Below are 26,019 nucleotides of genomic sequence, written 5' to 3' on the forward strand. Positions count from 1 at the left end.
TGGTGTCTGAGAGGAGGAGGGCACAGTGCGAGGGCCCATTCTGGTTGTTTGGGGATGTTTCTCTTAGCTCGTTGCTTGGAGGGTCTACCTGGTTTCTCATAGCTGCTGCCTGGGGTAAATGACTGGCTTTGAATCAAGTCCCAGAGTGCAAGTGTCTGAGGGGAGCCTGGGAGTAAATGGAGGAAGGAAGGAGAGGGAGGGAGGGAGGGGGGTTCCCCTACAGTTTCCCAATGAGGAGATAAAATGTAAGCCCTAGAAACATGGGAGAATTAATGATGTGGAATGAGCTGTGTCACTTGTGACATGAGTCATAGTATTGCCCTCTCAGGATAGATCTCTGCCCTGAAAGTGGCTGAGAACAGCCAAACCCAGAGAGGTGGGTACAGTCATCCTAGGGGTGTAGCCTGACCTTGCACTTGAAGGGAAGGAGGAAAGCCAACCCCTGTGCTAGGATACACGATTAGTGCTCATGACACATCTGTAAGATGTTACTCCCTTTTTACGGAAGGGAAACTGAGGCCCAGAAGGGTCAGCAAAAGCCATCACCCTTGGAGGAGGATAGATCTGGGTTTTGATATCACAGGCGCCATCCCCTAATGCCTGCATAACTTTGGGTCTCCTCCTCCACCAGACAGATCCTGCCACCTGTGGAGAGGTCAGCAGGGGACTCCCTGGTTTGCACAGGACCATCTGGATCAGGTAGGAAGGAGGAGAAAACCACTGGCCTCCACATTCTTTAATCCAGCTTTGCAGATAATAGAGCCTGGACTTTCAGCTGATCTGATTCCTGATCAGTTTCTCAATGAGCTGAAACTCAGAGGGAAGAGGAATGTGATTTCCACTCACAATCACCAGACAGGGAGCCTCTTGTGGGCAGAAACTGTTTCTTTCTTATTTTTAGTAAATAAGAAAGTATGTCATATTTAACACATATGAAAGAAAAAGGCAGCATATCTGTGAGTTATAAGGCATAGTACTAAACACTGTACCTCAGACCAGTCCAATCTGTCCCTTTTCCCTCCATCCCCCTGCCTCTCCGTGAAAGGTAACCACTATCCTACAATTTTTTTTTTTTTTTTGAGACGGAGTCTTGCTCTGTCGCCCAGGCTGGAGTGCAGTGGTATGATCCCAGCCCACTGCAAGCTCCACCTCCCGGGTTCACACCATTCTGCCTCAGCCTCCCGAGTAGCTGGGACTACAGGGGACCACCACCACGCCCGGCTAATTTTTTGTATTTTTAGTAGAGACGGGGTTTCACTGTGTTAGCTAGGATGGTCTCGATCTCCTGACCTTGTGATCCACCCGCCTCAGCCTCCCAAAGTGCTGGGATTACAGGCGTGAGCCACCGCACCTGGCCAACTATCCTACATTTTGAGCTTAACCTTGCCTATTTTTTTTTTTCAATTTTAGCAATCTGCATGCATTTCTGAGCTGTATAAAGTTTAGTTGTACTGCTTTGGGGGGCTCTATACAAATGATATCAAATTGAACTTAATCATCAGTGGTTATTAGAGTTACCATTTAAAGATGAATATGCACCTACGTCACAACTCCTGGGTATATATACCCTAGGGCACTACTTCTCATATTTTTTTGGTTTTAGGACTCTTATGTCCTTAGAAATTATCAGGATGTGCACAGTGGCTCATGCCTGCAATCCCAGCACTTTGGGAGGATTGCTTGACTCCAGGAGGTTGAGACTGCAGTGAGCTGTGATCATGCCACTGCACTGATAATAATTATCAAGGACCCCAAAAAGCTTTTGTTCACGTGGGCTGTATTTATTTATATTTACAGTATTAGAAATTAAAACTGAAAAAAGTTAAAAAGTTTAAAAAAGTTAAAATCAGCTTTAAAATAAAAAATAAACTCAATGGATATTAACACATTTTATGAAAAAAATTCTATTTATGTTAAAATTTAGGGAGATGAGAGGCATTGTTTCATATTTTACGATCTCTTTATTGTCTGGCTTACTAGAAGACAGCTAGAATTTCTATTTGTATTCAAGTGTTGCAATATGTTGTTTTGGTTGAAGTATATGAGAAAATTCCAGCCTCACCCAGATATGTAATTAGAAGAGGTAGGAGTATTTTAATAGCCTTTTCAGATAATTGTGGATGTGTCATGCAGCCTCCAGAAAACTCCACAGCATACCCCTGACAGGATGAGAGTGAAAACTATTATGAAAATAGTTTTGCGGCTGGGAGCGGTAGCTCACGCCTGTGATCCTAGCACTTTGGGAGGCCACAGTGGGTGGATCACCTGAGGTCAGTAGCTGGAGACCAGCCTGGGGTGAAACCCTGTCTCTACTAAAAGTACAAAACTTAACCGGGCATAGTGGCGCACGCCTATAATCCCAGCTACTCAGGAGGCTGAGGCAGAAGAATCGCTTGAACCCAGGAGGCAGAGGTTGCAGTGGGTCCAGATTGTGACACTGCACTCCAGCCTGGGTGACAGTAAGACTATGTCTCAAAAAAAAAAAAAAAAAGAAAAGAAAAAATAAAAAGAAAATAGTTTTGCTCGTGTGGACCCTCTGAAAGGGCCTTGGGGACCCCTGTGGGTCCCTGGATCACACTTTGAGGACTGCTGCCTTAGTGAAACTCTTGTACATGTGCACGACGGGGTTGTGCAAGATTGTTCGTTGCAGCATTGTCTGCAATAGAAAAGAACTGGAAACAACCCAAAATGTTGTCTATCATCAGGAGAATGAATACATGAATCATGGTTCATTCACACATCAGAATATTTGTATAGCAGTGAAAATAATGCCTCTTTTCCCCACCTTTGTACATGAGAAGCCTGTGTATTAACAGAGTCCTTGCAGTTTGACTGAGTAGCTCTTTGACTGGTGTACACTAGAGTGTTAAATGAGGCTGAGCATAAAGTAGGTATTTAAGAGATGGACAAAATGAATGAACATGCCCAAAAGCTGTGAATGGAGAGGCCAAGCCAGAGTCACCTAATTTCCTGTTGTGACTTTTGTCATGTTAAAGTCTCCTCTGGCTGAAGCCTTTTCATTTCTTCTGAAACACTTGATTTCAGACTAATGACTAAAAGCTAACTTCCTGTTTTAAAATGATGTTTATGCCACCACAAAATACTTTGCAAATGGTGGGAGTTAATAAACACAAACCCACAGAGAATCCAGCAAATTTATAAAAGATCTTCCCTTTGGAAGTTTGGGAGCACAGAGCTAAAACAAGTACATTTTGTGTTTAAAATTGAGCCTTCTTGCTGGAATAAAAACATCTCAAGGCAAAAGCATTCCACACTTCTGACCCCGGGTTAGAAAGAACAATGGAGAGCTTTGGCCGGGCATGGTGGCCCATGCCTGTAATTCCAGCACTTTGGGAGGCCAAGGCGGATCACCTGAGGTCAGGAGTTCAAGACCAGCCTGACCAACATGGAGAAATCCCATCTCTACTAAAAATACAAAATTAGCCGGGTGTGGTGGTGCATGCCTGTAATCCCAGCTACTCAGGAGGCTGAGGTAGGAGAATTGCATGAACCTAGGAGGCGGAGGTTGCCCTGAGCCAAGACCGCACCATTGCACTGCAGCCTGGGCAACGAGAGCGAAACTCCATCTCAAAAAAAAAAGAGGGAAATATACTCAAGTTTCTATCGAGGTCATCACTGATAAGACTGAAAGCCCTGAGCATTAGTATCCTAGCAGCTGCTAACCTTGTGTGAGGAAGACACTGCATACCTAGAGAGAGTCCCTCAGGGTTGCAAGTTCCTGCTTTTGATAGTTTTGTAAATATATGACCTGTGAGAAATATAAGAAAATAAATAAGTTGAACATAAAGTCATAGTTTCAAACTTTGATGTTTTCATTCAGCCAAAAATCAACAGAACTAATGGTTAAAATCAGACATTTAATGTGTATTTGCCTTATCAACAAAAAATATTATTCAGGAAGCCTTGGTTTAAAAAATCAATTTTTTGATATTTCCTCCTGAATCAACATCTAGTGTCTCAGACATGAAGGGACTCCACCCTTCCTTTCCTGTGTTCTAACTTCCAAGAGTTACCTATGTCAAATTTAGTAGTATTTATATTGATGACCCCATAAAATTGAATGCCGACTTCTGGTTAACAAAGCATTGTAGACTGAGAAATAGACAGATAAACCAACAGGAAAAAAATTCAGAAATAGACCCAAAATATATGAATTAATACTTTAAAGCTGGCATTTCAAATCAAAGGAGAAAAAAAGGGCTGTTCATTAAATAGTATTGAGACAACAGGCTACACATCATTTTCCATTTGGGAAAACCATTTAAATTATATTGCTACCTCACTCCTTATCCCAAAATCAATCCCAGACGAATAGAAACCTAAATGTCAAACATGAAACCATAAAAGTAAAGGGGATGGCACAGTGGCTCACACCTGTAATCCCAATACTTTGGGAGGCCAAGGGGGGAGAATAGCCTGAACCCAGGAGTTCAAGACCAACCCAGGCAACTTAGTGAGACCTCTTCTCCACTAAAAAAATAAATTAATTAACCGGGTGTGGTGCTGTGTCCTGTAGTCCCAGCTACTTAGGAGGCTAAGGCGGGAGAATCTTGGCCCCAGGAGAGGCTGCAGTGAGCTATGGCCACACCACTGCACTCTAGCCTGTGCAACAGACCAAGACCCTGTCTCAAAAAAATAAAAAATAAAAAAGGTACAAGAAGAAAATATAGTTGAATATGTTTATAATCGTGGAATGAAGAAGCTCTGTCTAAGCATGCCATGTAATACAGAAACCATAAAGGCAAACACTGATAAATTTGAGTGTATGAAACTTTAGCCAGGCGTGGTGGCTCATGCCTGTAATCCCAGCACTTTGGGAGGCCGAGGCGGGTGGATTACCTGAGGTCAGGAGTTTGAGACAAGCCTGGCTAACATGGCAGAACCCCATCTCTACTAAAAATACAAAAACCTAGCCGGGTGTGGTGGCAGGTGCCTATAATCCTAGCCCCTTGGGAGGCTGAGTCAGGAGAATTGCTTGAACCCAGGATAGGGAGGTTGCAGTGAACTGAGATCGTGCCATTGCACTCTAGCCTGGGTGACAAGAGCAAAGCTCTGTCTCAAAAAACAACAACAACAACAACAACAACAAAACTTTAAAATTTTCTGAAGAATAAACCTATAAACAAACAAAGACAAAAAACAAACTAATAAAACTCATTACAGTCCAGGTGCGTGGCTGACACCTATAATCCCAGCACTTTGGGAGGCCGAGGCGGGTGGATCACCTGAGGTCGGGAGTTTGAGACCAGCCTGACCAACATGGAGAAACCCCGTCTCTACTAAAAATACAAAATTAGCCGGGCATGGTGGTGCACGCCTGTAATCCCAGCTACTCCGGAGGCTGAGGCAGGAGAATCGCTTGAACCCGGGAGGCAGAGGTTGTGGTGAGCTGAGATCACGCCATTGCACTCCAGCCTGGGCAACAAGAGCAAAACTCCATCTCAAAATAATAATAATCATCATCATTTCTGGAAAGATAGAGTACTATTTGTTTTACTGTGGTAAAATACACATAACATAAAATGTATTATTTTAACTATTTTAAGGTGTATGATACAGTACATTCATAATGTCATGCAACCACCACCAGCATCCAGTTTCAGAACATTTCATCACCCAAAAGGAGACTCAATGCTCATTAGTACTTCCTATTCCTTCCTACCTCTGGCCCAGCAACTACTCATGTGCTTTCTGTCTCTTCGGATTTGCCTATTCAAGATATTTCATACAAATGAAATGATATAATATGTGGCCTTTTATGTCTGACTTTTTTCAGTTAGCATAATGCTTTCAAGGTCCATCCATATTGTAGAACGTATCAGTACTTCTTTCCCTTTTATGGCTGAATAATATTCCATTGTATAGAGAAACCACATTTTGTTTATTTGTCAGTTGATGACATTTGGTTTGTTTCTGCCTTTTGGGTATCATGCAAAGTGCTGCTGTGAACATTTGTATACAAGTTTTTGTTTGAACACCTGTTTTTCAGTTCTTTTGGGTATATCCCCAGGAGTGCAACTGCTGGGTCATATGATAATTACTGAAAACCTCTTAGTGATTTTTGGATATTGTGCCACATGTATATATTACCTAATAAAAATTGATTATTTTAATAAAAATAACCAAGTAGAGACAAATATATTGTTTTATAATCACAGTTTGGCATCCCTGCAAAATCAGCATTGGATCAATCAGTAGTCTCACAGGACCTAAAAGAAACTGAGGTGTAGGAAGTAAACATGTAATCCCATTTTTAAATATGACTCACAGAAACAGTAGGTCTTCGGGCTACAAATACTCCCCGTCATTAAATGTTTCAGCAGCATTGCCCTGGTGAATGTGGGAAGAGCTGAATATTTTCTAGATCCATGTTTTTTTAAAAGGTAAAGCAGCAATTGAAGTTGAATTCAAACCGGTGATTATGTTGACTTGGTCTGACAATTGCATGGACTCTCACTGGGAGCCCGGACTCACGCAGCACCACCTGTGTCCCCTAGGGGGCGAGCTGGGGAGAGACCGGAGTCCCTGGGAGAGCTCTGCGCGGAAGGCCCGAGAGAATTGGTCCCGCAGAGCTTTTACAAAGGCAAGAAGAGGATCACCGAAAAGGGATCACAGTGGGGAAAAAGGCAAGAAGAGGAAACACTGTGACAAAGAACCCAGCGCTGGGACACTTGGGAAACGTATTTTCTCAAGCACTTTATTTTATTATTTTATTATTATTTTTTTTGAGATGGAGTCTCGATCTGTCGCCCAGGCTGGAGTGCAGTGGTGCGATCTCGGCTCACTGCCACCTCTGCCTCCCAGGTTCAAGCGATTTTCCTGCCTCGGCCTCCCAAGTAGCTGGGATTACAGGTGCCCGCCACCGCGCCTGGCTAATTTTTCTATTTTTAGTAGAGGTGGGGTTTGCCATGTTGGCCAGGCTGGTCTCAAACTCCTGACCTCAAGTGATCCGACTGCCTTGGCCTCCCAAAGTGCTGGGATTGCAGGTGTGAGCCATTCAAGCACTTTATTTTTATAAACAAGGAGACCGAGACCCAGAGTAGCTGCTGATGGTCACAAAGGCTGTAAGCATGAAGTCTGGAAACCTCTGCTGTTGTGCAATGCGCAATGTGGGAAGAGAGGCTCTCCACCTCTGATGGGGCTGTGTTTGAGTCCCTCCTCCCTCCCTTTCCACCTCCCTCCCCACTACCACCACTTACTTAAATGTGTGACTCAGTGTCACTAACTTAACATTTCCCAGCCTGTTTCATTATCTGTATAGTGGGGTCTAATAGCATCTTCATCAGGCTGATGCAAGGAAATGACACCATGTATGCACAGGACCTCCCTTATGCTTGGCATATAGTAGATTCTCAATAAACATTTGTTGTGTGAATGAATATTCTCTCCTCTAGCCCTCTCAAAGGCAATCGTTCTGCTGCCCAACACATTTTTATTGATGACATTTCAGGCAGTATCCTTATGAACTCTCCATATCTAGAAGGCTGGGAAGGGAAGGAAAGCAGAGTTTGGGGTGTTCGTGCCGTTCCTGTTGTGGTAAAAAGCTCCTTTGTGAAGCCTGTGCAGCACCAGCCCCACTTGGAGGCTGCAAATCTGTCAGCCGGAGGTCCTCGGAGCTCCCAGGTCCTGGCCTTCTCTGCCAGCAAAGTGGCATACCTGGGTTATGGATCCAGGGGTCTTCTGAGGCCAACAGAGCCACACACACCCCATCCAGTTCCCGCCTCCCTTCCCCAAGCATCTGACAGAGGCCAGTTTGGCTGTTTCAAGTAATACCAATCACAGTGTTTTATGAGAATTGTTGGTCATGCCCAGCTACACAATCCTCATGCATATTGTCAGACACGTCAGAGTGTGGTAAACTTTATTTCATTGCATTATAAAGTTCAGGTCATGGTTTCTCAGTCTTCGTCATTTACACTTTACATGGCACAAGACTTTTAAAATATTAGGTTGTAAATTGTAATTCTCACAATTCCTTTTTTGGGAGGAAGGAAGGTGTGGATGGGACTAAAATATACTTTATTCATTATTAAAAATGTTGCTATAGTACACAAAATGGGAAAAATACAGAAAAGAAAGAAAAAGGCCAGGTACAGTGGCTCATGCCTGTAATCCCAGCACTTTGGGAGGCCGAGGCAGGTGGATCACTTGAGGTCAGGAGTTCAAGACCAGCCTGGCCAACATGGCAAAATCCCATCTCTACTAAAAATAGAAAAATTAGATGGGCGTGGTGGCATGCGCCTGGAATCCCAGCTACTAGGGAGGTTGAGGTGTGCTTGAGCCCAGGAGGCAGAGGTTGCAGCGAGCCAAGATTGCACTACTGCACTCCAGCCTGGGCGACAGCAAGACACTGTCAAAAAAAAAAAAAAAGGAAAGAAAGAAAGAGAAAGGAAGGAAGGAAGGAAGGAAGAGAAAAGAAAAGGAAATAACGAAAGATTTCCCAGAACTCCACCATTCAACTGCTGTTGGTATTTCTTTTTACAACTTTTTTTAAAGACGGGGTCTTGCTCTGTTGGCCAGGCTGGGGTGCAGTGGCACAATCACAGCTCACTGCAGCCTTAAACTCCTAAGCTGAAGTGATCCTCCTCGCCTCAGCTTCCTGAGTAGTTGGGATTACGGACACACTACCATGTCCGGCTTACTGTTGGTATTTATTAGTGGATTTTAGAAACATTTTAAAATGCACTTTTTACAAAGTTGTGATAATAACATTTACTATTTTAAAAATAGGTTTCCTCAGTGCTTAAAAATGATATTCATTCATTCAACATTTCCTCAATGCTTACTATGTGCCTAGCACTGGGGTACAATGATGAATGAGATAAACTGGACTTGGTGGCTCACACCTGTAATCCCAGCACTTTGGGAGGCTAAGGCAGGAGGATCACTTGAGGCTAGGAGTTCAAGGCCAGCCTGGGCAACATGGAGAGACCACATCTCTAAAAAATAATCTTAATAAAAATAAAAAATAAAAACAAAGAAAAATGAGACAGGGTCCTTTCCAGGGTGATGTGCCTTCTCTTGTCACCACAATTGCAGCTTGTTTACGCATTTGCTAAATGGTTGCTAGGGCTTGGATATTTGTCCCCTCCAAAACTTATGTTGAAGTTCAACCCCCAATGTAGCAATATTCAGAGTTGGGGCCTTTAAGAGGTGATTGGGTCATGAGAGCTCTGCCCTCATAAATGGATAAATCCATTCATGGATTCATGGGTTGATGGACTAATGGGTTGCTACAGGAATGGGACTAGCAGCTTCATAAGATGAGGATGAGAGAACTGAGCTAACACACTCAGTCCCCTCACCTTGTGGTGCTCTGCACCACCTGGGGACTCTTCAGAGAGTTCCCACCAGCAAAAAGGCCCTCACCAGATGTGGACTTTACAGCCTCCAGAACTGTAAGAAATAAATTTCTTTATAAATTACCCAATCTGTGGTATATGTTACAGCAACAGAAAATGACCTAAGACAATGGTGCTACTGAGTAGGGGGAAGCCCTCAAAAAAAAGGGGAACTCTGGATGGGTGTGGTGGCTCACATTTGTAATACTAGCACTTTGGGAGGCCAAGGCGGGAGGATGGCTTGAGCCCAGGAGATAGTGACCTCCTGGGCAACATAGTGAGACCCCACCTATACCAAAATAGAAAAAAAAATAGCCTGGCATGGTGGTGCAGGCCTGTAGTCCCATCTATTGGGGAGGCTGAAATGGGAGAATCGCTTGAGCCCAGGAGTTCAAGGTTACAATGAGCTATGATAATCCCCCTGCAGATTAAAGGCAGAGTAGGGAAGCATGCCTGGTGAGGACAAGGAACAGCAGGGAGACTAGTGTGGCCAGAGAAACACAGGTGCTCAAACAGTGCTTGCTGAGTGATTGAATTACCCCAGCATGTGGTGCAAACACTTTAGTTTGGTCCCCAGAGTGCCACAGTAGCTCTCAAATTGTGTCTCCCACTGACTCCTTTCTCCCAGGTTTTTAAAAAATATCATCTGTGCACATGTTATCGTCCCGAAATTGCTGATGGATTTTTCAAGATCTCATTCTTCCCGCTGTCCTCCTTTAACTCTGCTTTCCATTTAACTGGGTGTCTGCCCATGACTGAGTTTTCCTCTTCCCAAGTCACTTGCAATGGGTCTCTGCACCCTTCTTGGTGTGATTTCTCCAGTGCCGACAACTGAACCTGGTACAGAGTAAGTGTTCCGTTAAAGAGCTCTTGACTGAGTGAATGAATTTCCCCTGAGAGTTTCATCAATCCTTTCTACATCCCCATTATTTGAGCCTTTCCATTGGTCATACCCATGCCAGCTTTACTTACTTCTGCTTTTTTTTTTTTTTTAACTCATGTGAGTTACCATCATCAGTTTTTCACTCTGTCTGTTCCTTTTCCTGGATGGGTGCTGGGTGCCACCTCTCAGTGGCATTCTCATTGCACACCAGCGTCCTTTGATCCTAAAGAGGCTACAGATCTTTTAGGGAAGGAGGAAGAGAATGCCTGCCTACCTGCCTAGCACTCAAAAGAGCAGATCCTTCAAGTCAAAACTCTCACACCTCACCTTGGACCTTTCCAACTCCACCCCAGGAGTCTATCAGAGAGGAAATCTAAACACTGTTTGCACCAGTCCTCCCTCTGCCCACCCCTCCCCACACCACAGGACGAGAAGCTACTCTCAGGCAAGGAGTAAGTTGTGGCTTCAATGTGAGATTGAGCAAGTAGGACTCACACTTTCTAATCAAATCCAGATTTGTCCTTTTCAGCCTTGTTGTGACACCTGCATCATATCACAGCAAAATTTCTTTACGGGACTGTCATAGAGAAACAGGACAAAAACCCTGGACTGGGGTGAGATTTGGGTTTTCATCTTGGCTTGGGCTCTTTACGTCTCAGTTTCCTCATCTGTAAAAGGGTGGATTGGACTAGATGGTCTCCAAGAGTCATTCACGTGCCAAGAGCCTAGCCCAGGATCTTGTCTCCAAGGGAAAGGCTGCCACACAGGACTCAAATCGTCCACAGCAACTGCTCCGTCCCCGGCATCAATCCCCCCACCCCTCCCCCAATCCCACACCACCACCCCATCACAGGAACCTAGACGGTGGACAGGCCAGTGGGGATGGTATGCAGAAGTACATCGACTTATTCAAGGGAGCTTGGCCCTGAGAAAAGCTGGTGGTCTGCCAACATTCTCAGAGGCTGAAATATATCAAAACACCCATTTAAGAATGTACGCTGAGAACCACAGTGGCCAGAGAGAGGGAGGATACTGCTCTGCTCCCACCCACCCTTCCCTCCCCACTATACCTCACCCTCCATGGCCCCTGTCCAGGACTGCTGCTCCTGGAATCCAAGGAAAAGGATTCAATGTGTGTCTCAATGACAGGAGGGGCTCCCTGGCTTTCTAGAGTCCTGCCCTCCTGGCCTCTGTTCCCCTCAACCTCAGTGCCAGAGACACAATGGCCAAGTTCCTTTGAAAATTCCCTTTCTCCATGCTCCAGATTGCCTTTCCTGTCCTCCAGTTATTCAGGCTCACATTAAAAAGTATGAAGATGGCTTTGGGGAGGGACTCTGGTAGGTGTTAATCTTTAGTGTAAGGAGATTAAAGGAGCTGGTTTCCTAGGCAGTGTCTGATTTCTTTAGTTGGGAAGAGAGAGGCCCCGCCTTTTATAAGGGCCTGGGGCTGCCAGCGTTGTGCCCTTGATTTCTTTAGAATCCATTCAGACTTAACCATCCTTTCTGTAGCCAGGCCCAGACTGCATCGAGGTCATCTTTGTCTTTCAACATGAATATTCTAGTAACTTTCTCCCCAGTACCCACTCCAGAGGATCCAGGGCAAAAGTAAATCTCCGAAAGTGTTTGTAGGATGAAGCTGGTGACTCATGCCTAGTTTATGAGTGGTAAGTGTTACATTACATGTTCTGCACATTATCTCATTTATCCCTCACCACTCTATGGGGTAGGCACTATTTTAACCCCCGTTTTATAGGTTTTGGACCTAAGAGGTTTGGAGCGGGTAAGTCACTTGTCCAAGGTCACACATTAGGAGGTGTGCTATCCATTGCTAAAGCCAAGGCTCGCTCTGTCCATCGAGCCACTGTACCAAGTGCCAAACATTTATTAGGAACCTATTCCAGGTGCAAAACCCTGGGTGTGGCCAGCAGATGATCAATATGCACATGAATGAAGAATGGGTAGCTCTTCAATTCCAGGAGCACAATTTCTAACCTGGGAGGTGGTATGAACATGAAGAACTCTACTCCAAAGCAGCCTGAAATAAGTGCTATCTCAGAGGTAAAAGGGGAGTCCCATAGGAACGTGGCTGAGGAGGGAGATCAATACACACTCAGAGAGAGACAGAGAGAGAGAAACAGAGAGAGAGAGAAGCAGAGAGAGAGCGACAGAGAGAAAGAAGGGAGGAAGAGGGTAGGGAAGGAGGGAAGGAAAGGAGAGAGAACATGAATGAGATAAGTGCTGGGAAGAAGTTTTCAAGAAATGGGCTTTGTGCTAGGCCCTGGTAGATGGGTCAACTTCCCCAGGCTGGAGAGAAACAGGCAGAGGAAACAGCTCGAGCCAGGAGCCAGGGTGACAGCATTCAGGATCTGCTCCACAGTCAGGCCTGGGTTGGGCTATGGAGAGAGGCAAGCCTCGCAGGTCAGTCAGGATCAAATGCAGGAGAGTCCAGATGCCAGGGAAAGGTCTGGGCTTGCTTCTGGGGGCAGTAAGGAGCTGCTGAAAGCTGCTTATAGATAAAGCATGACAGGCAGGAAGAGATGATGTGAGCTTGCAGAGAAAACTGGTGATGGGAGGCAGAGATGAGGTCTTCACATGGTTCATCTCTTCTTTGGCCAAGGTCCACTGCCAGGCTGGACACTTCAGGGGGCAGGAAGAGGAGGGATGGTCCCAGCGTTGGGAGTGCTCTGAGCATAGGCCGAGCCTAAGGCCCCTCCAAGGCCTGTGGAGGGGCTCAGAAGGGCAAGTGGCCTAATTCTGAGGCGCAAGGAAAGACCTAAAGGAAACACTGAGGGTCTTAGAGTAGGAGGGGTAGTGAGCACGCACAGGGGAAATTGGAAGGAAATGAACCATTCTGGGACATGGGGAGGAAGAACCTTCAATTCAGCCAAAGGAAAATAAGTGTCCTTACCCCTTGCCCATTCAGGCTCATTACTTACTTTGAAACTCTTTTAAAGAAATGCAGAAAAAAACCTTTTTTTCCAAGTGCAGTAAAAACTCAATGAACTTGAGAAACCAACTGCCTGGAACATTCAAGTCACTGGGATTTTTTTTTTTTTTTTTTTTTTTTTGAGACGACATCTTGCTGTTGCCCAGGCTGGAGTGCCTCAAAATCCTGGGCTCCAGAGATTCTCGTGCTTCAGCCTCCCAAGTAACTGGGACTACATACATGCATCACCACGCCCAGCTAATTTTTAAAAATTTTTTGTAGAGACAGGAACTCACTATGTTGCCCAGGCTCATCTCAAATTCTTGGGCTCAAGTAATCCTCCTGCCCTGACCTCCCAAAATGCTGGGGTTACAGACGTAAGCCACAGCGCCTGGCCCTGCGATTGTTTTTTGATTCAATCTTCGAAGTAGAATAGGTAAATGACCACAGACAAGTTAGTATCAGGATGTTAATCACAGAAAGACCTACTATGGGTGACCACAGAGTCAGCAACATAAGCAGAAGGTGACTCAACCCAGGACCCATTTGAGGGGGATGGAGGAGGCAACCCTGACTAAAAGTTTGCTCCACCCTTTTAATGTTTTTGTAGGCCCTAAGTCCTGAAGACCTTATGGAATCCTCCTCTAATATATAATTAAACATTTTAAAATAAAAATAGGCTGGTGCAGTGGCTCACACCTGTAATCCCAGCACTTTGGGAAGCCAGGGCAGGGGGATCACTTGAGTCCAGGAGTTTGTGACCATCCTGGGTAAAATAGCAAAAAAAAGTATTTTTGTTTAAAAAACTGGGCAGGTGTAGTAGCATACATCTGTAGTCCCAGCTACTCGGGAGGTTGAGGCAGGAGTACTGCTTGAGCCCAGGAGTTGAAGGTTACAGCGAGCTATGATTGTGCTATGCTACAATTAAATCACATCCTCTGATTGCAAAATTCTTAACTTCAATAGAGTTCTTTCTCTTTCTCTCTCTCTCACCTGCTTTGCTAATTCCCTAACCAGCACTGCCCTCACTAGCCTGTGACCATATCCAACAGCCCATTATGAGAAAGACATTTCTTTGGATGTTGAAAATGTCTGCATTTCTAAGAATTCCTGATTGAAAGGAAGAGGATGCTAACAGTTCAAGGCAGCAGAGTAGAGGTAGGAAGAGCTGGGCTTGGGAGGTAAACAGCCTGCCTAAAGAACTAAAGAACTAAAGCAAGTTCTTCAGTCTCTCTATGGCTCAGTTTCCTCATATGTAAAATGGGGAGGAATAAAAGAATAATATCCCTCTTGCAGTGTTGTCCTGAGGATGAGTCCACACACAGCCAGAAAGCATTCAGAAGAGTGCCTGGCACATAGTGAATCTCCTAAGTGTTGCTGTTATCACTTTCACCTACATCACAATGCAGCGGATGCTCATTCTCCCCAACATAGTTAAGTAGTATGAGGCTCTGAAAAGCTAAGTAACTTGTTTTCAGACACACAGCTAGGAAGTAGTAGGATTAGCTGGAGTGAAAACTCAAGTTAGTTTGACTCTAAAGACCCACTTTCTCCCTCCCATTATCCTGCAAATTTCCCTGATTGGGGAATAACATTAGGCTTTAAATTTTTAAAAATATTACTTACCTTGTGATAACCAATGGTACAAAATTCAAAAAGAATAATATGGTGTATAGTGAAAAAGTAATTTTCCCCCTCTCTCTCTTCTCCCAGCCTCCCCACCCCCAGGCCAACAGCTGTTCCCAGTTCCTTGCAGAGCCAGCTTTAGAGTAAGCTTTTCACTGCTAATGCACATTTATTTTCCAGATTAATGTAATTCCCTGAGTGCCTCATCTGTACCAGGCACTCTATCCTGGTGCTACCGCTGCCTTCAGAGGGCTCCTGGGCGTGAGTCTGGAGGTTACTGATGGAGGGAACTACTGTATTGACTGCTGCATTTGGTGCTTTTCCCTCTGCAGCCATCTTTTCCCCTAGTAAAATCAGCTTGCATGGTTTGCACACTGGAAAAAGGCCAGTTCAGTGCCCCAAAACCTCTTCTGTAGCTTGCTTTGCACAGAACCTGGCAAGCAAGGAGCATTATGGTGTCAGGAGCTGACCAGAGGACTCTGTGATGCTGGATCTGGGATCAGCTTCCTCCTCTACGAAACTCCCGACCCTTCCAGTTCTGTAATTGCTCTGCCCCAGGGGCTCTTAGGAAGCATAATTTTCCATGAAGCCTTGCTGCTTCTGGGCTCCATTTCTAGCCAGAAGACCCCAGCTGTCCCACAGGTAACTGAGAAAGGCCAAAGAGCTCTAAGCCCCTTTCCTTACTTTCTCACCGTTGTTCTTTGGACAGTAGTAATGTTAAATATAAATATATTTTCCCCTGCTATTGCTGCCAGAAAATATTTATAATGGGGTCAGCACAGAGCTTTCTCAATGACTTAATTATAAAATATGCTTATAACCTGTGGTGTGATTACATAAATGCACAAAAGCAACTTCAGAACGTGGTGCTGATCATAACATAGAAATCCTTGCTCTCTCTTTCCAAACATTAAGTATCTGGCTGAGGGATATAAAGTAGGGATGTCACCATTTTGGAAGCAGCTAATGTTATTCCCATTTCAGAGATGGAGGCTCAGAAGAGGTCAGGCTGCTGGCCCAAGATCAGTGGTAGAAGCAGGACTCCAGCCTGCTTGATATTTGACTCAAAGCCCCACTTTTTTCCAATGCATCAAGCACCTCATGGAAAGGTCTGGGACTATGAAAATCTATGTTCTGGATGTTTGGGAAATTCATTTTCTGGTCAGCTGAATATTCTGGATAGAAGAATGGACACTGCAGATTAGGGTTAGGAAGGAAGAGGGGAAGACAGAGGTGGAGGTTCCCTAAGCCTTGGATTCTTCTTCCCATCACAATTCACTTCTTAAAGTCTATGAGTCTCTCCTTCTCAGTGGGTTGTAAACTCCTCTGGGACATAGTCTGGGAGAGATCTGGTAACGATAAGGTATGCGTGAGGCTGAGAGTCACATCTCCATTCTAACCCCTGTCTATTTGTTTCTAGCTAGGTAGGCACTGTGGTTTTTATTTGCATTTCTCAGATGACTAATACAGTAAAATTTTTTTTTTTTTTAAGACAGAGCCTTGCTCTGTCGCCCAGGCTGGAGTGCAGCAGTACGATCACAGCTCACTGCAGCCTCAACCTCCTGGGCTCAAGCGATCCTCCCACCTCAGCCTCCCAAGTAGCTGGGACTACAGGCGTGCACCACCACACCTGACGAATTTTTGTATTTTTTGTAGAGATGGGTTTTGCCATGTTGCCCAGGCTATGAACATCTTATAGATTTTTAGTAATTGTTAGTTTGTTTCTTTACTCTGTCTCCCCTTTCTTTCTGTATCTTTGCCCCCTTATCCCCTCTCCCAGGACCTGAAAAAATGCAACCCTGAAAGATGCCAGGGTCCTGGGATCCAGAATCCTCTACTCACAGTTCTCTGTGACAACCCTTTAGCAGCCCTTCATCATCTTACCTTGCCAGCCTCATCTCTCAGCCTTCCATCCCCTTGTACATGACTCTCCAGCCAGACTATCAGTTTCAATCCTCTCTGAGCCCCTTTGAGCTTTTGTAGATACTGTTCCGTGTGCCTGGGACACTATGCACCCTTCCCCACTCCTTCCCCATACTTTACCTTCCTAATGCCTAGGTCTCCGTCAAGTCTCAGGTCATATGCTACTTCCTCCAGGAAGCCTTGCTTGATGCTTCCCCCACCCCCACTCACCAGCCTGGGTTAGTTGCCCCTTGTTTGTGGCTAAGAAACATCCTGTACTTCCCCTTCTAGCACTTATCACACTGTGTTGCAATTGCCTGTTTGCTAGTCTGTTTCTCTTATACCTTGCCTCATCCCTTTGAGGCTTAATCTGTGCGTTGCACACTCTTCTATCTCAAAGCCTAGTGCAACAGTGATATTTGTTGAATGAATGATCTAGCTCAGATCTCTCTAAAATGACAAAAATCTAACCTTCTGCGCCACCTCCCACATCAATCCTCCTCTTTGCCAAGGTCTCAAAAAAACAGACATTTATGGACGGTCTACTGTGTGCCAAGCACCAGGCCAGGCCCTTTACTGGTGATGTCATTTTCACAATTAAAAGGCTTAAAGCTCCGAGTCTAGACAGCCCTTTGACTGAAACTCAGAGGTTCTGATGTCTAATCAGGCAACTAATGAGCAAGGGGAAATAAGTGATACCACAACATTTTCCATCTTGGTAGTGGCAAAGAGATGTCAACAGAATGGAAGACCCGTGTAGCCCTGAGCTGCTGAATCTTCAGTGCCTGGCACGTGGTAGGGCACAGACAAGATGTGCCGAATAAATGAATGTTCGAAGACAGAACACAAGAAGGGCAGACTACAAGCCTAGAAGACCTGTTTCATTCTAGGCCTGGCCTAATGTATTTCTCCTATTTCCTTCATGTGTTATTGATAAACAAAACTGGACACTGAAGTATTTTTGTCATGGGCAGCTGTTCACAGCCCTAGCCAAGGCTTTCCTTTTTTTTTTTTTTTTTTTTTAGATGGAGTCTCACTCTGTCACCCAGGCTGGAGTGCAGTGGCGCAATCTCGGCTCACTGCAACCTCCACCTCTTGGGTTCATGTTGTTCTGCTGCCTTAGCCTCCCGAGTAGCTAGGATTACAGGCGCACGCCACCACACTCAGCTAATTTTTGTATTTTTATTAGAGATGGGGTTTCACCATGTTGGCCAGGATGGTCTCCATCTCCTGACTTTGTGATCTGCCCGTCTCGGCCTCCCAAAGTGCTGAGATTACAGGCGTGAGCCACTGCGCCCAGCCCCAGCCAAGGCTTTCTTGTGATTTCTGCTCAGACAGCGTTGGCTAAAATGGCCACACCTAGCTACAAGGGAAGCCGAGAAATTTCGAGTTGTGAAACCAAGAGGAAAAGAAAGCACATTTGGTGTAAACAGCAGTCTCTTCCACAGCACACAAAGCAGTGTTGCCTCTGCTGGTGTCACTGGATGACTGTGAACTATCACCGGATTGCTGGATTCTCTCTCTGGAAAGGCCCTCAATGGTCATTTAGTTCAACCCCCGATTTTACAGATGGAAAGAAAGATTGGGGCCCAGAGAGAAGTGACTTATCTACTATCAAAGAGTTGTTTGGGGCCGGGCAAGGTGGCTCACGCTTGTAATCCCAGCAACTCAGGAGGCTGAGGCTGGAGCCACTGGAGACCTGGGCAACATAGTGAGACCCTCTCTCTACAAATTTTTTTTTTTAATTAGCCAGGTGTGGTGGCACATGTCTGTGGTTCCAGCTTCTTGGGAGGCTGAGGCAGGAGGATAGCTTGAGCCCAGGAGTTCAAGGCTGCAGTGAGCTGCGATCCTGCTCCAGCCAGGACGAAAGAGACCGTGTCTCAAAATAAATAAATAAATAAATAAATAAAAGTTGTTTGGTGCTAGAGCCACACTGTTTTGCTTAATCTGTCAGTGCTTTATCTGCAAAGTGGGTCTTTAAACAAGAAAACCCCCTCATCTCCTTCATAAAAGGAGATTTCAATGATAAAGAGGAAAGCGTTAAAAGCAGTATAAGTCAATATGTTGATGATGCGGTAATTACAACAATGGCACCGAACATAAATCTTTCTTCAGTTACTCAGAGGCTTGTCTGTGTCCTGTGGTCACTAAATGACTCCATTATTCGGAACTTTGGCTTCTCCTGTGTAATACTGCAAAATCATTGACATGACCATGTGCATGAGGGGTGAAACCTTACCTCTTTTGATAAAAGACCAGTTACTGATTGTGTAAATTTGTGCAATTATTTAACATTCTTTGAACTTTAGTTCTCTCACCAGTAAAATGGAGATGATAATATCCACCTCCAAGGTTTTGTTTTTGTTTTTGTTTTTTTGTTTTTGCATTGGTAGGGGGGAAGGATTAAAGAAGAAATAAAAACCATAGTATTTATTGGGTCCCAACAAGTTGCCACAGTATCAGACACCTAGTTGGGACCCAATAACATGTAAGTTTCCGTTCTCAAATAGTTGAGGTCCTTTCTCTGAATACTTAGGGGACCATATCATATAATTATTGCTGTAATCACTTTAAAAAGGAGCACTTCCAACAACATTCAGTGGACAAATTTTTTAAGATCTGCTATTGCTGAACTAGGTGCTGAAAATCCTCAGATGAAAAAAAAAAAACAAAACACCTATTCCCAAGACAGACTGAAATGTGAACAGAAAATAACAGCACCATGTGAGAAGTGTGCTTGGGTGAGTGACGGAGGGCTTCCCGGAAGAGGCTATGTGCTTCATGGGGAAGGAGTAGGAGCAGACCAAGTAGAAGGGGACCAGACAGGGGAGGACACGGAGGTATGAGGAAGCACAATTTCTATGAGGGGACTATTTGAAATACTTCTGTAACAGTTAAAAAAAAAAAAGTTATAATAAAAGGGAGGGGCCAGGTACCTGTGAGAGCAGTGGGTTTTGGATTTTTTCCAAAAGGTGGGGAACCACTGAAGAATTCCAGCAGGGAGATGATGTGAAAGGGGTAAATGGGAAGTAGTGGGGAGAATGACACCACCAGTATTCCTGAGTGGGGAAGTGAGAGCTGGGTGGTTGGAGCCCACACCCACCCCTCTCCATTTATTTAGTCATTCAACAAATAGTTACTGAGGGCCTGCCACCTACCAGGCTGTATTCCAGGGGCTGGAAATCAGGCAACCAACAGCACTGGCAAGATCTTTGTTCTCATGGAGACTGACAATAGATAAGCAAGTAAACATGCAAGGAAATATTAGATAGGTGCCACTAGGAAAATTAAACCAGGCAACAGAAGAGTCTCTGAGCGGCAGCGGCCCATTCCCTGCCCCCAACACTTACCAAGCCTCCTCTTGATATAACTTTGGTTTCCCAAGGAGGCGTTGCTCCTAGAACAATCTCTATGGTAAATATTAATAATTAAGCCATCTCTCGGAGTGTTTCCAATGAGCCTTCCCTGGGTGAGGATAGTCAGAGCTAGTTTTCCCCAGGGCCTGGTCTGCCTTGTAATTGTTGGTTAAGGACCATCAATTCTGCCAAAAGTCCTAAGTTTAAGGTTTTAGGAAAATCGCGGCAACCTTGAGACCTTTCCTGAAGTGGTTCCCCTGCAATATATGACCTTGCCCTCCCCTCACTACCGACCCCACTTCCATGTATATACACAATTATCCTTTAGGAGAGAAACATTTGATAGTACGGTTGCAATTTTGCATTCCTCCCCTTTGAAAAATGCAAACTTTTAGAACAGGCCCGCCGCTTCGGGCAGGTTTTGCCGCGGAAACCACCCTCCCTCCCCGCCCCCGGATGTCCAGAGGGCTGGGTGGGGAATCCCGGGAGCAGCGCACTCAAGAGCACGGGAGCTGGAGGCTGGAGGCTGGCTCGTCACCATCAGGGCTCCCTGGGATGTAAGTCAGAGCTCCTCAGTGCCAGAGGGATGCGGGCCAAGAATAAAAACGCGAATGTTGTATTAAATGCAGCTGAAGAAACGAGGGACTGAAAAGGCAGATTTCCCAGTGTGCCTCATGGTCTTCCCCCATTTGACTCATTTACTCACTGCGGGTTTCTTTTTCTCCACTCTTTTCTTATTATGGAAACTTTCAAAGACACAGGAAAGTTCACTATTTTAGGGAAATCTAGCAAACGCCCCAGGAGGGCCTCTCTGATTTTGCCCAACTTCTCTGGACTGCCTGATAGAGCTTGCCCTCTGGGGACTATCACAATCGGGACTAAATTAGGGCCCCTGCTCCCAAGGGTTTTTATTCTAGCTGGGGAGAGAAGTCACTAATGGAAACTTTTTTTTCCCTTAAAATAGCTTACACCTTACAAAGCACTTTCACATTCCTGATTCCGTTAAAATCATAAAGCTAGAACTGAAAGGAAATTTAGAGATCATCTCTAGGGGTCAAATATTGGCAAATATTGGGCCACCTGCTAGGCTCTTGCCCATGGTAGACATGGCTAACATACCGCACACTCACCCGTTCATGTCATGTATTCACTTACTTATCAGACATCCTCCATGTTCTACATTGCATGTTAGAAATAAAGCAGAAAACCAGACAGACTTGTTTGCTACCTTATGGACAAACAAGAGGAAGAGAGACATTAAACAAATAATTACACGCATGAAGAGTGTTTTTAGGCCGGGCGCGGTGACTCATGCCCGTAATCCTAGCACTTTGGGAGGCCTAGGCGGGAGGATCTCTTGAGCCCAGGATTTCGAGACCAGCCTGGGCAATATAGGAGACACTGTTTTTTTTTTTGTTTTGTTTTTTGTTTTAAGTGTTTTTAAAAGCCGGTGTTGGGGCAGACAAGGACATCACACACTGGGAGGTACCCTGCGGGTGGGAAAGGGTCGGGAAAGACTCCCTCAGGAAGTGATGTTTAAACTGAAGTCTAGGGGATTAGGAAACGGAGTCTCTGAGAGGGTGAAGAAATATTACATACCAGTATGAAGCATGGCCTGAGTGAGGTCATGCTCCAGGGCCGAACAAGGGGTTATGGATGCTAAGTGGGGGTGGGTGTCCGGAGGAAACAGAAGGTTGGTGGAGCAAGGCCTTAAAGACAAATAGGTTGACATGGAGAGATGGGTGGAAGAACTTGAGCCAAGGGCAGATATTATTGTTTCTCCTCCTCCCGCTTCCCAGGGAAGCAGCTCTCATCTAGTGTCAGTAAAAACAAATACAAAGTTATAATTTATTGGCCACCTAGTATGTGGTGGCAATTTTCATGAATTCTCACATGTTCCTTGCGAGACAAGTATTCTTCTTCCAGTTTTACAGATCTAGAAAAGGCTTGGAACGGCTAGAGACGCTTGCTAAGCCTGGCCGTCAAGTAGGCAGCAGAGCTAAGATTTGAAAGCATGCCGGCCTGCCTTCCTAGGCAGACGCACTTTCCACAACGCATCACTGCCATAAAAATCCCAGGCCGAGGCTTGCTCTAACAGCAAATACCACTTGGAAAAGGACAGATCTTTGAGGACCCAGAAATACTTCTGGGGAAAGGATGAGCAGAGGTGCCCCCGGTGGGTGGATACCATTAGGCAGAGGTCTATGCGGAAGAGGCCGACTTGTGGCGTGGGAGGTAGGGAGGAGTAAGAAGTGATTGACGGGGCGTCCCTGGCTGCTCTAGGACTGCATTGCGGGGAGGTGCCCGGCTCTAACCACTGCCCGGCCCGGTTAATCATTTCCTGACCTTCCTTCCTCCTCTCGCTCTGGCCGCAGGATTGCCACATCAGTCTTCCCCCTCCTCCTGCTCGCCTTCTGGCCCCGAGGCTCCTTCGCCGGGTTTTACAAGGAGCCCCAACTTGGAAGCAATATTTGTAATAGCCCCGGACGTCCTCAAGTGCCCCAGTGAGATCGCAGGCTCGATCCAGGGTATGCCGGCCCAAGCGGCCCCTTGAGGCTTGCCCTCTTCTCTAATCCCTCACTAAAAAGAGGTCAGAGGGTCAGGGATCCAATCTCCATACAGATCAACAAGTTACAGACTCGGTTTCCCCCTGCGGTAAAAAGGGGATGGTAACAGCTGGTAGGGTGTTGCGAGGCTTAAATGCGGTATGGGAAGTGCCTGGCTGGGAGACCTTAGGTATCTAACAAATGCTAGATCCCTTCCCTTCTTATCGCCTGGTAATGGGGAGTTTAGCTTGCCCAGCAATCCCAGGCTACGTTTATCTCACTTGAACTTCCTGGCTTGAAAGTCCTACGATGTGCTGGAGGTAACGCAGATGGTGAGTCACAGTGACAGGATTTGAACGTGGGTTCATGGGCGCCCCTGCGGGCCCACCCACGCAGCATCTAGGTGGCTGGCTAACGCCACGTGTTCAGAACCTAGAAAGGGCTACGGATCGCACCTGCCGCAAGGAGCCTAACGCTAAGTCGGGCGGGACTGCCCTGGCACCCATGAAACCCGCTGCCCGCCTCCCCCGGGGCCAGGCCCTTGGCCTCCCCAGCTTGTTTCTTCGTGTATAAAATGAGGGCCACGGTGCCTGTCTGCCCGAGAGGTTTTAAAGTTCTTCTTTACACTTTGCGGAGCGGCCGGATTTTTACCACGAAGCCACCGAGTAGTCCGCACCACATAGGTTCAGTATCCTCCGCCCACCGCAGGAAACGCCGCGGACGGCCCGGGGTGCCCTGCTCGGCGCCCCACCCTTCCCGGGGCCGGGGAAGCGGCGTGACTAGGAAAGTCACTTCGGAACACAGCCGGACTCTGCGCCACCAGCTGGAGCTCGCCGGGACCCCACCCCGCGGGCTGGGCGGGGGCGGACCCGGGGGCGGGGCGGGGAGGGGCCGGCCTGGAAAGGCGGAAGCCTCCAGTCTAGGGGTGGCTGCAGAACCCGGATCTCGGAGTTACACGTTCTACGGAGCGGGGCGCCGGGAGACGGCGGGCGAGAAAACCCGGCGTCCGGAAGCCCGTGCTTTCTTTGACGCAAGGGCTCGAGACGCAGCCGCCGTCGGCCGAGCGCCCGGCTAGAAGCGACACCAGACGGAGCCTCCGGAGTTCCTCCGCCCCCACCTCGCCGGGTCCTGGAGCCGCAGTCCTCCCAGCTGCCCTCCTCGTGGCCATGGAGTGTCCACACCTGAGCTCCAGCGTCTGCATTGCTCCGGACTCAGCCAAGTTCCCCAACGGCTCCCCGTCGTCCTGGTGCTGCAGCGGTGAGTGCGGCCACGGGCCGGCCCCGCAGCGCACCCGAGGCCGCGGCTCTGCCGGGCCTGCCGTCTAGGGGCCGCAGGCGGCCGGCGCGCGGACTCGGGGAGGGGCGAGGGCGAGCCGGGCCCGGCGGGCTGGGGAGGGTACGCGATGAGGCGGGCGCGTGCGGGAGCGGCGGCGGCTCCTTTGTTTCCCGAGGCCCGACGGCCGGGCCAGCGAAGGAGAGGGCCGCGAGGGGCGGGAGTCCGCGGAGGCCTCGAGCGCGTGGGGGCAGCGGCAGGCGGGGACCCTGGCCAGCTGCGTGCGCCCTTGCCCCGCCCTGCCGTGGCCGGGGGCTGTGCCCGTCCGTGTTGCGGGGTCGCCTGTGGGGCGGGTGTCCGGCCCCCGAGGGGCGGCCGCACGTGTGGCGGGGCCCGCGCCGCGCTTCTCCGCAGACAGGGCGGGAAGAGCGCCGCTCTCCGGGCGCAGCTTTGTCTGGGCTGCGGGGCGCGCGGGGCTCCTCTCCTCCGCCGAACCCGGCCCGGGTTTCCTTTCCCTTCTCCGCAGGCTCGGGCACCTCGAAACCCCGAGAGGCGCTGGGAGCTCGGGCGGCGGAGGTCGGGGTCTTTCATCCGTCAGGGATGGTGAAGTTTGAAAACAGGCTGCGGGCTGAGAAGCTCGGAGGCTGAGCCAACAGCTGCTTTGGAGGGGACTGCTCGAGTTTGTTTTTCAGACCTTTTGGGTTGTCCGAAAATGCGTTGGGATTCCCAGTTCCTGTGTTGTGAAACACTTATTAGATTTATATAAGGCTTTTGAGTAGCTTAAGCGTTTTAACTCCTGCTGGCCCCCTTGGAAGCCCCAGTGCCCTCTCATTGTCTGCTCTAAGCGACTTCTTAGGATCGCACCGGCCACACGGCTTTGCTTACTTCCTGGTAGGGCCCTGGTGCCACCGCTAGTCTTTGTTTATTAGCTTTGAGATGGTCACTGGTATCTTGGGTTATATTAATAGCGTACAATTCGAATTGTGCACTTCAGAAATCTGAAGTTCATTTGAAGAAATATAGAAAAACGGCAATGGTATGATTTAGCTGTGACATGTCTCATTGTGGGCCGGAGCTGGGAAGATAGTTTAGAGAATGCCTTAGCACTTTTGACAGCTTACTACTTAAATAGTGATTATGTTCTTGGAAACAACATCGGTAGGTCCACAAAGAAAAATGTACTCTGGGATAAGGAATAGAAATAACTGCGGTTTCCTGGCGCGCTCAGACGTCTGATGCTTTGCTTGCCTTTGTAAAGTCAGGTATCTTTTTCTGCATGAAGCCTTTGAAAATTAACGGTTAATTGGTTTCACAGAGCAGTATTGCAGTTCTTTTGTGAGGATGCAGAAACTTGTGTAAATTAGCTTTTACCTGTAAATCTGTCGGGATGTTGAGTATAGAACAACAAATAAGGTGTATGGCACTGCTTTACAAATTGGTTGGTGGTGGTACATTAGCTATAACTGTAGCCATTGCTGTGGTGCTATAATTGTAACTTAATTTTTTTCCCAAAAGAAATTTGAAGAAAAAAAAAAAGACCAAAGTAAACACTAGGAGAAGCCTACCTCACAGGGAATGGTGGGATTGCTCTTGCTCATCTGTAGTAAACTACAGAAAGACAACATGGACAATTAGCACACTTCTGGCATTTTTTAGGTAAAATCACATCAAACTTAAAAATGGCTTCACTGGGCACATACATCTAAAAAATGGAAAAGAACTGTGCAAGTGGCAGATGCCCTCTTGTGAGTCAGTCTTGCCTCTGTCAGTCAGGGAGTCCACTTGACTGTGAAAAAGAGATGCAGGAAATTGAGCATCTCTTGAGGAACTTAATAAGTTAAAATGGAGCATAACGAGATGTGCTGATAACAAGAATAAACTAGTATGTGGGGTGATTTCTGTTCAAGGGGTAGGATGACATCTTTGCATCTTGCAACAAAGTGTGTCTGACATATAGCTTTGCAAGCCTGGGTCTAGTCACTTACTTGGATTTGTAGAACCAATAAAGCGAGTTTCGCAACTTTGTGTGAGTCCACACTCTGAATTGAACCCATTTTATGTAGGCCTCCCGTCTTAACCCGTTGGCATCCATTTGTTGATATAATCTAGCGTTATTGTATTAAGCTTGATCTTGTTCTTGCGTGCCT

The 26,019-nt window shown here is 46.8% G+C and overlaps 1 protein-coding gene across 5 annotated transcripts in view, besides 15 other annotated features; it reads left to right on the forward strand.

Annotated features, from left to right (window-relative positions):
• Positions 446–595: an enhancer, noted in NCBI's record as "active region_9532". NCBI's record gives its function as "activates an Ori minimal core promoter by ATAC-STARR-seq in GM12878 lymphoblastoid cells {active_cell/tissue: GM12878}" and the evidence as "EXISTENCE:reporter gene assay evidence [ECO:0000049][PMID:35858748]".
• Positions 6,298–6,347: an enhancer, noted in NCBI's record as "active region_9533". NCBI's record gives its function as "activates an Ori minimal core promoter by ATAC-STARR-seq in GM12878 lymphoblastoid cells {active_cell/tissue: GM12878}" and the evidence as "EXISTENCE:reporter gene assay evidence [ECO:0000049][PMID:35858748]".
• Positions 6,378–6,447: an enhancer, noted in NCBI's record as "active region_9534". NCBI's record gives its function as "activates an Ori minimal core promoter by ATAC-STARR-seq in GM12878 lymphoblastoid cells {active_cell/tissue: GM12878}" and the evidence as "EXISTENCE:reporter gene assay evidence [ECO:0000049][PMID:35858748]".
• Positions 9,257–9,386: an enhancer, noted in NCBI's record as "active region_9535". NCBI's record gives its function as "activates an Ori minimal core promoter by ATAC-STARR-seq in GM12878 lymphoblastoid cells {active_cell/tissue: GM12878}" and the evidence as "EXISTENCE:reporter gene assay evidence [ECO:0000049][PMID:35858748]".
• Positions 13,690–13,749: a silencer, noted in NCBI's record as "silent region_6515". NCBI's record gives its function as "represses an Ori minimal core promoter by ATAC-STARR-seq in GM12878 lymphoblastoid cells {active_cell/tissue: GM12878}" and the evidence as "EXISTENCE:reporter gene assay evidence [ECO:0000049][PMID:35858748]".
• Positions 16,275–16,364: an enhancer, noted in NCBI's record as "active region_9536". NCBI's record gives its function as "activates an Ori minimal core promoter by ATAC-STARR-seq in GM12878 lymphoblastoid cells {active_cell/tissue: GM12878}" and the evidence as "EXISTENCE:reporter gene assay evidence [ECO:0000049][PMID:35858748]".
• Positions 17,064–17,243: an enhancer, noted in NCBI's record as "active region_9537". NCBI's record gives its function as "activates an Ori minimal core promoter by ATAC-STARR-seq in GM12878 lymphoblastoid cells {active_cell/tissue: GM12878}" and the evidence as "EXISTENCE:reporter gene assay evidence [ECO:0000049][PMID:35858748]".
• Positions 21,900–22,693: an enhancer, noted in NCBI's record as "NANOG-H3K4me1 hESC enhancer chr15:63795072-63795865 (GRCh37/hg19 assembly coordinates)". NCBI's record gives its function as "activates a minimal SCP1, AML or CMV promoter by ChIP-STARR-seq in naive H9 embryonic stem cells {active_cell/tissue: H9 hESC(naive)}" and the evidence as "EXISTENCE:reporter gene assay evidence [ECO:0000049][PMID:30033119]".
• Positions 22,172–22,221: an enhancer, noted in NCBI's record as "active region_9538". NCBI's record gives its function as "activates an Ori minimal core promoter by ATAC-STARR-seq in GM12878 lymphoblastoid cells {active_cell/tissue: GM12878}" and the evidence as "EXISTENCE:reporter gene assay evidence [ECO:0000049][PMID:35858748]".
• Positions 22,694–23,486: an enhancer, noted in NCBI's record as "NANOG-H3K4me1 hESC enhancer chr15:63795866-63796658 (GRCh37/hg19 assembly coordinates)". NCBI's record gives its function as "activates a minimal SCP1, AML or CMV promoter by ChIP-STARR-seq in naive H9 embryonic stem cells {active_cell/tissue: H9 hESC(naive)}" and the evidence as "EXISTENCE:reporter gene assay evidence [ECO:0000049][PMID:30033119]".
• Positions 22,694–23,551: a biological region, named in NCBI's record as "NANOG-H3K4me1 hESC enhancer GRCh37_chr15:63795866-63796658".
• Positions 23,212–23,551: a silencer, noted in NCBI's record as "silent region_6516". NCBI's record gives its function as "represses an Ori minimal core promoter by ATAC-STARR-seq in GM12878 lymphoblastoid cells {active_cell/tissue: GM12878}" and the evidence as "EXISTENCE:reporter gene assay evidence [ECO:0000049][PMID:35858748]".
• The window catches only part of USP3 (ubiquitin specific peptidase 3), a 90,041-nt gene continuing 87,641 nt past the window's right edge, over positions 23,620–26,019 (forward strand). For 4 of the 5 annotated variants that reach the window (NR_046341.2, NR_046342.2, NM_006537.4 and 1 more), the window contains exon 1: positions 23,620–23,857. Coding sequence is in view for 2 of the 5 variants with exons in the window: in NM_006537.4 (NP_006528.2) it covers positions 23,767–23,857 (91 nt within the window). In the remaining 3 variants the exon portion in view is untranslated. Of the gene's footprint in view, positions 23,858–24,744; positions 24,764–26,019 lie in introns of those variants that run through there. The other variant, XM_047433394.1, reaches the window with a different exon arrangement.
• Positions 23,902–24,011: a silencer, noted in NCBI's record as "silent region_6517". NCBI's record gives its function as "represses an Ori minimal core promoter by ATAC-STARR-seq in GM12878 lymphoblastoid cells {active_cell/tissue: GM12878}" and the evidence as "EXISTENCE:reporter gene assay evidence [ECO:0000049][PMID:35858748]".
• Positions 24,082–24,281: a silencer, noted in NCBI's record as "silent region_6518". NCBI's record gives its function as "represses an Ori minimal core promoter by ATAC-STARR-seq in GM12878 lymphoblastoid cells {active_cell/tissue: GM12878}" and the evidence as "EXISTENCE:reporter gene assay evidence [ECO:0000049][PMID:35858748]".
• Positions 24,352–24,431: a silencer, noted in NCBI's record as "silent region_6519". NCBI's record gives its function as "represses an Ori minimal core promoter by ATAC-STARR-seq in GM12878 lymphoblastoid cells {active_cell/tissue: GM12878}" and the evidence as "EXISTENCE:reporter gene assay evidence [ECO:0000049][PMID:35858748]".

Source organism: Homo sapiens, chromosome 15 (genome assembly GCF_000001405.40).
Source record: "Homo sapiens chromosome 15, GRCh38.p14 Primary Assembly".
NCBI lineage: Eukaryota > Metazoa > Chordata > Mammalia > Primates > Hominidae > Homo > Homo sapiens.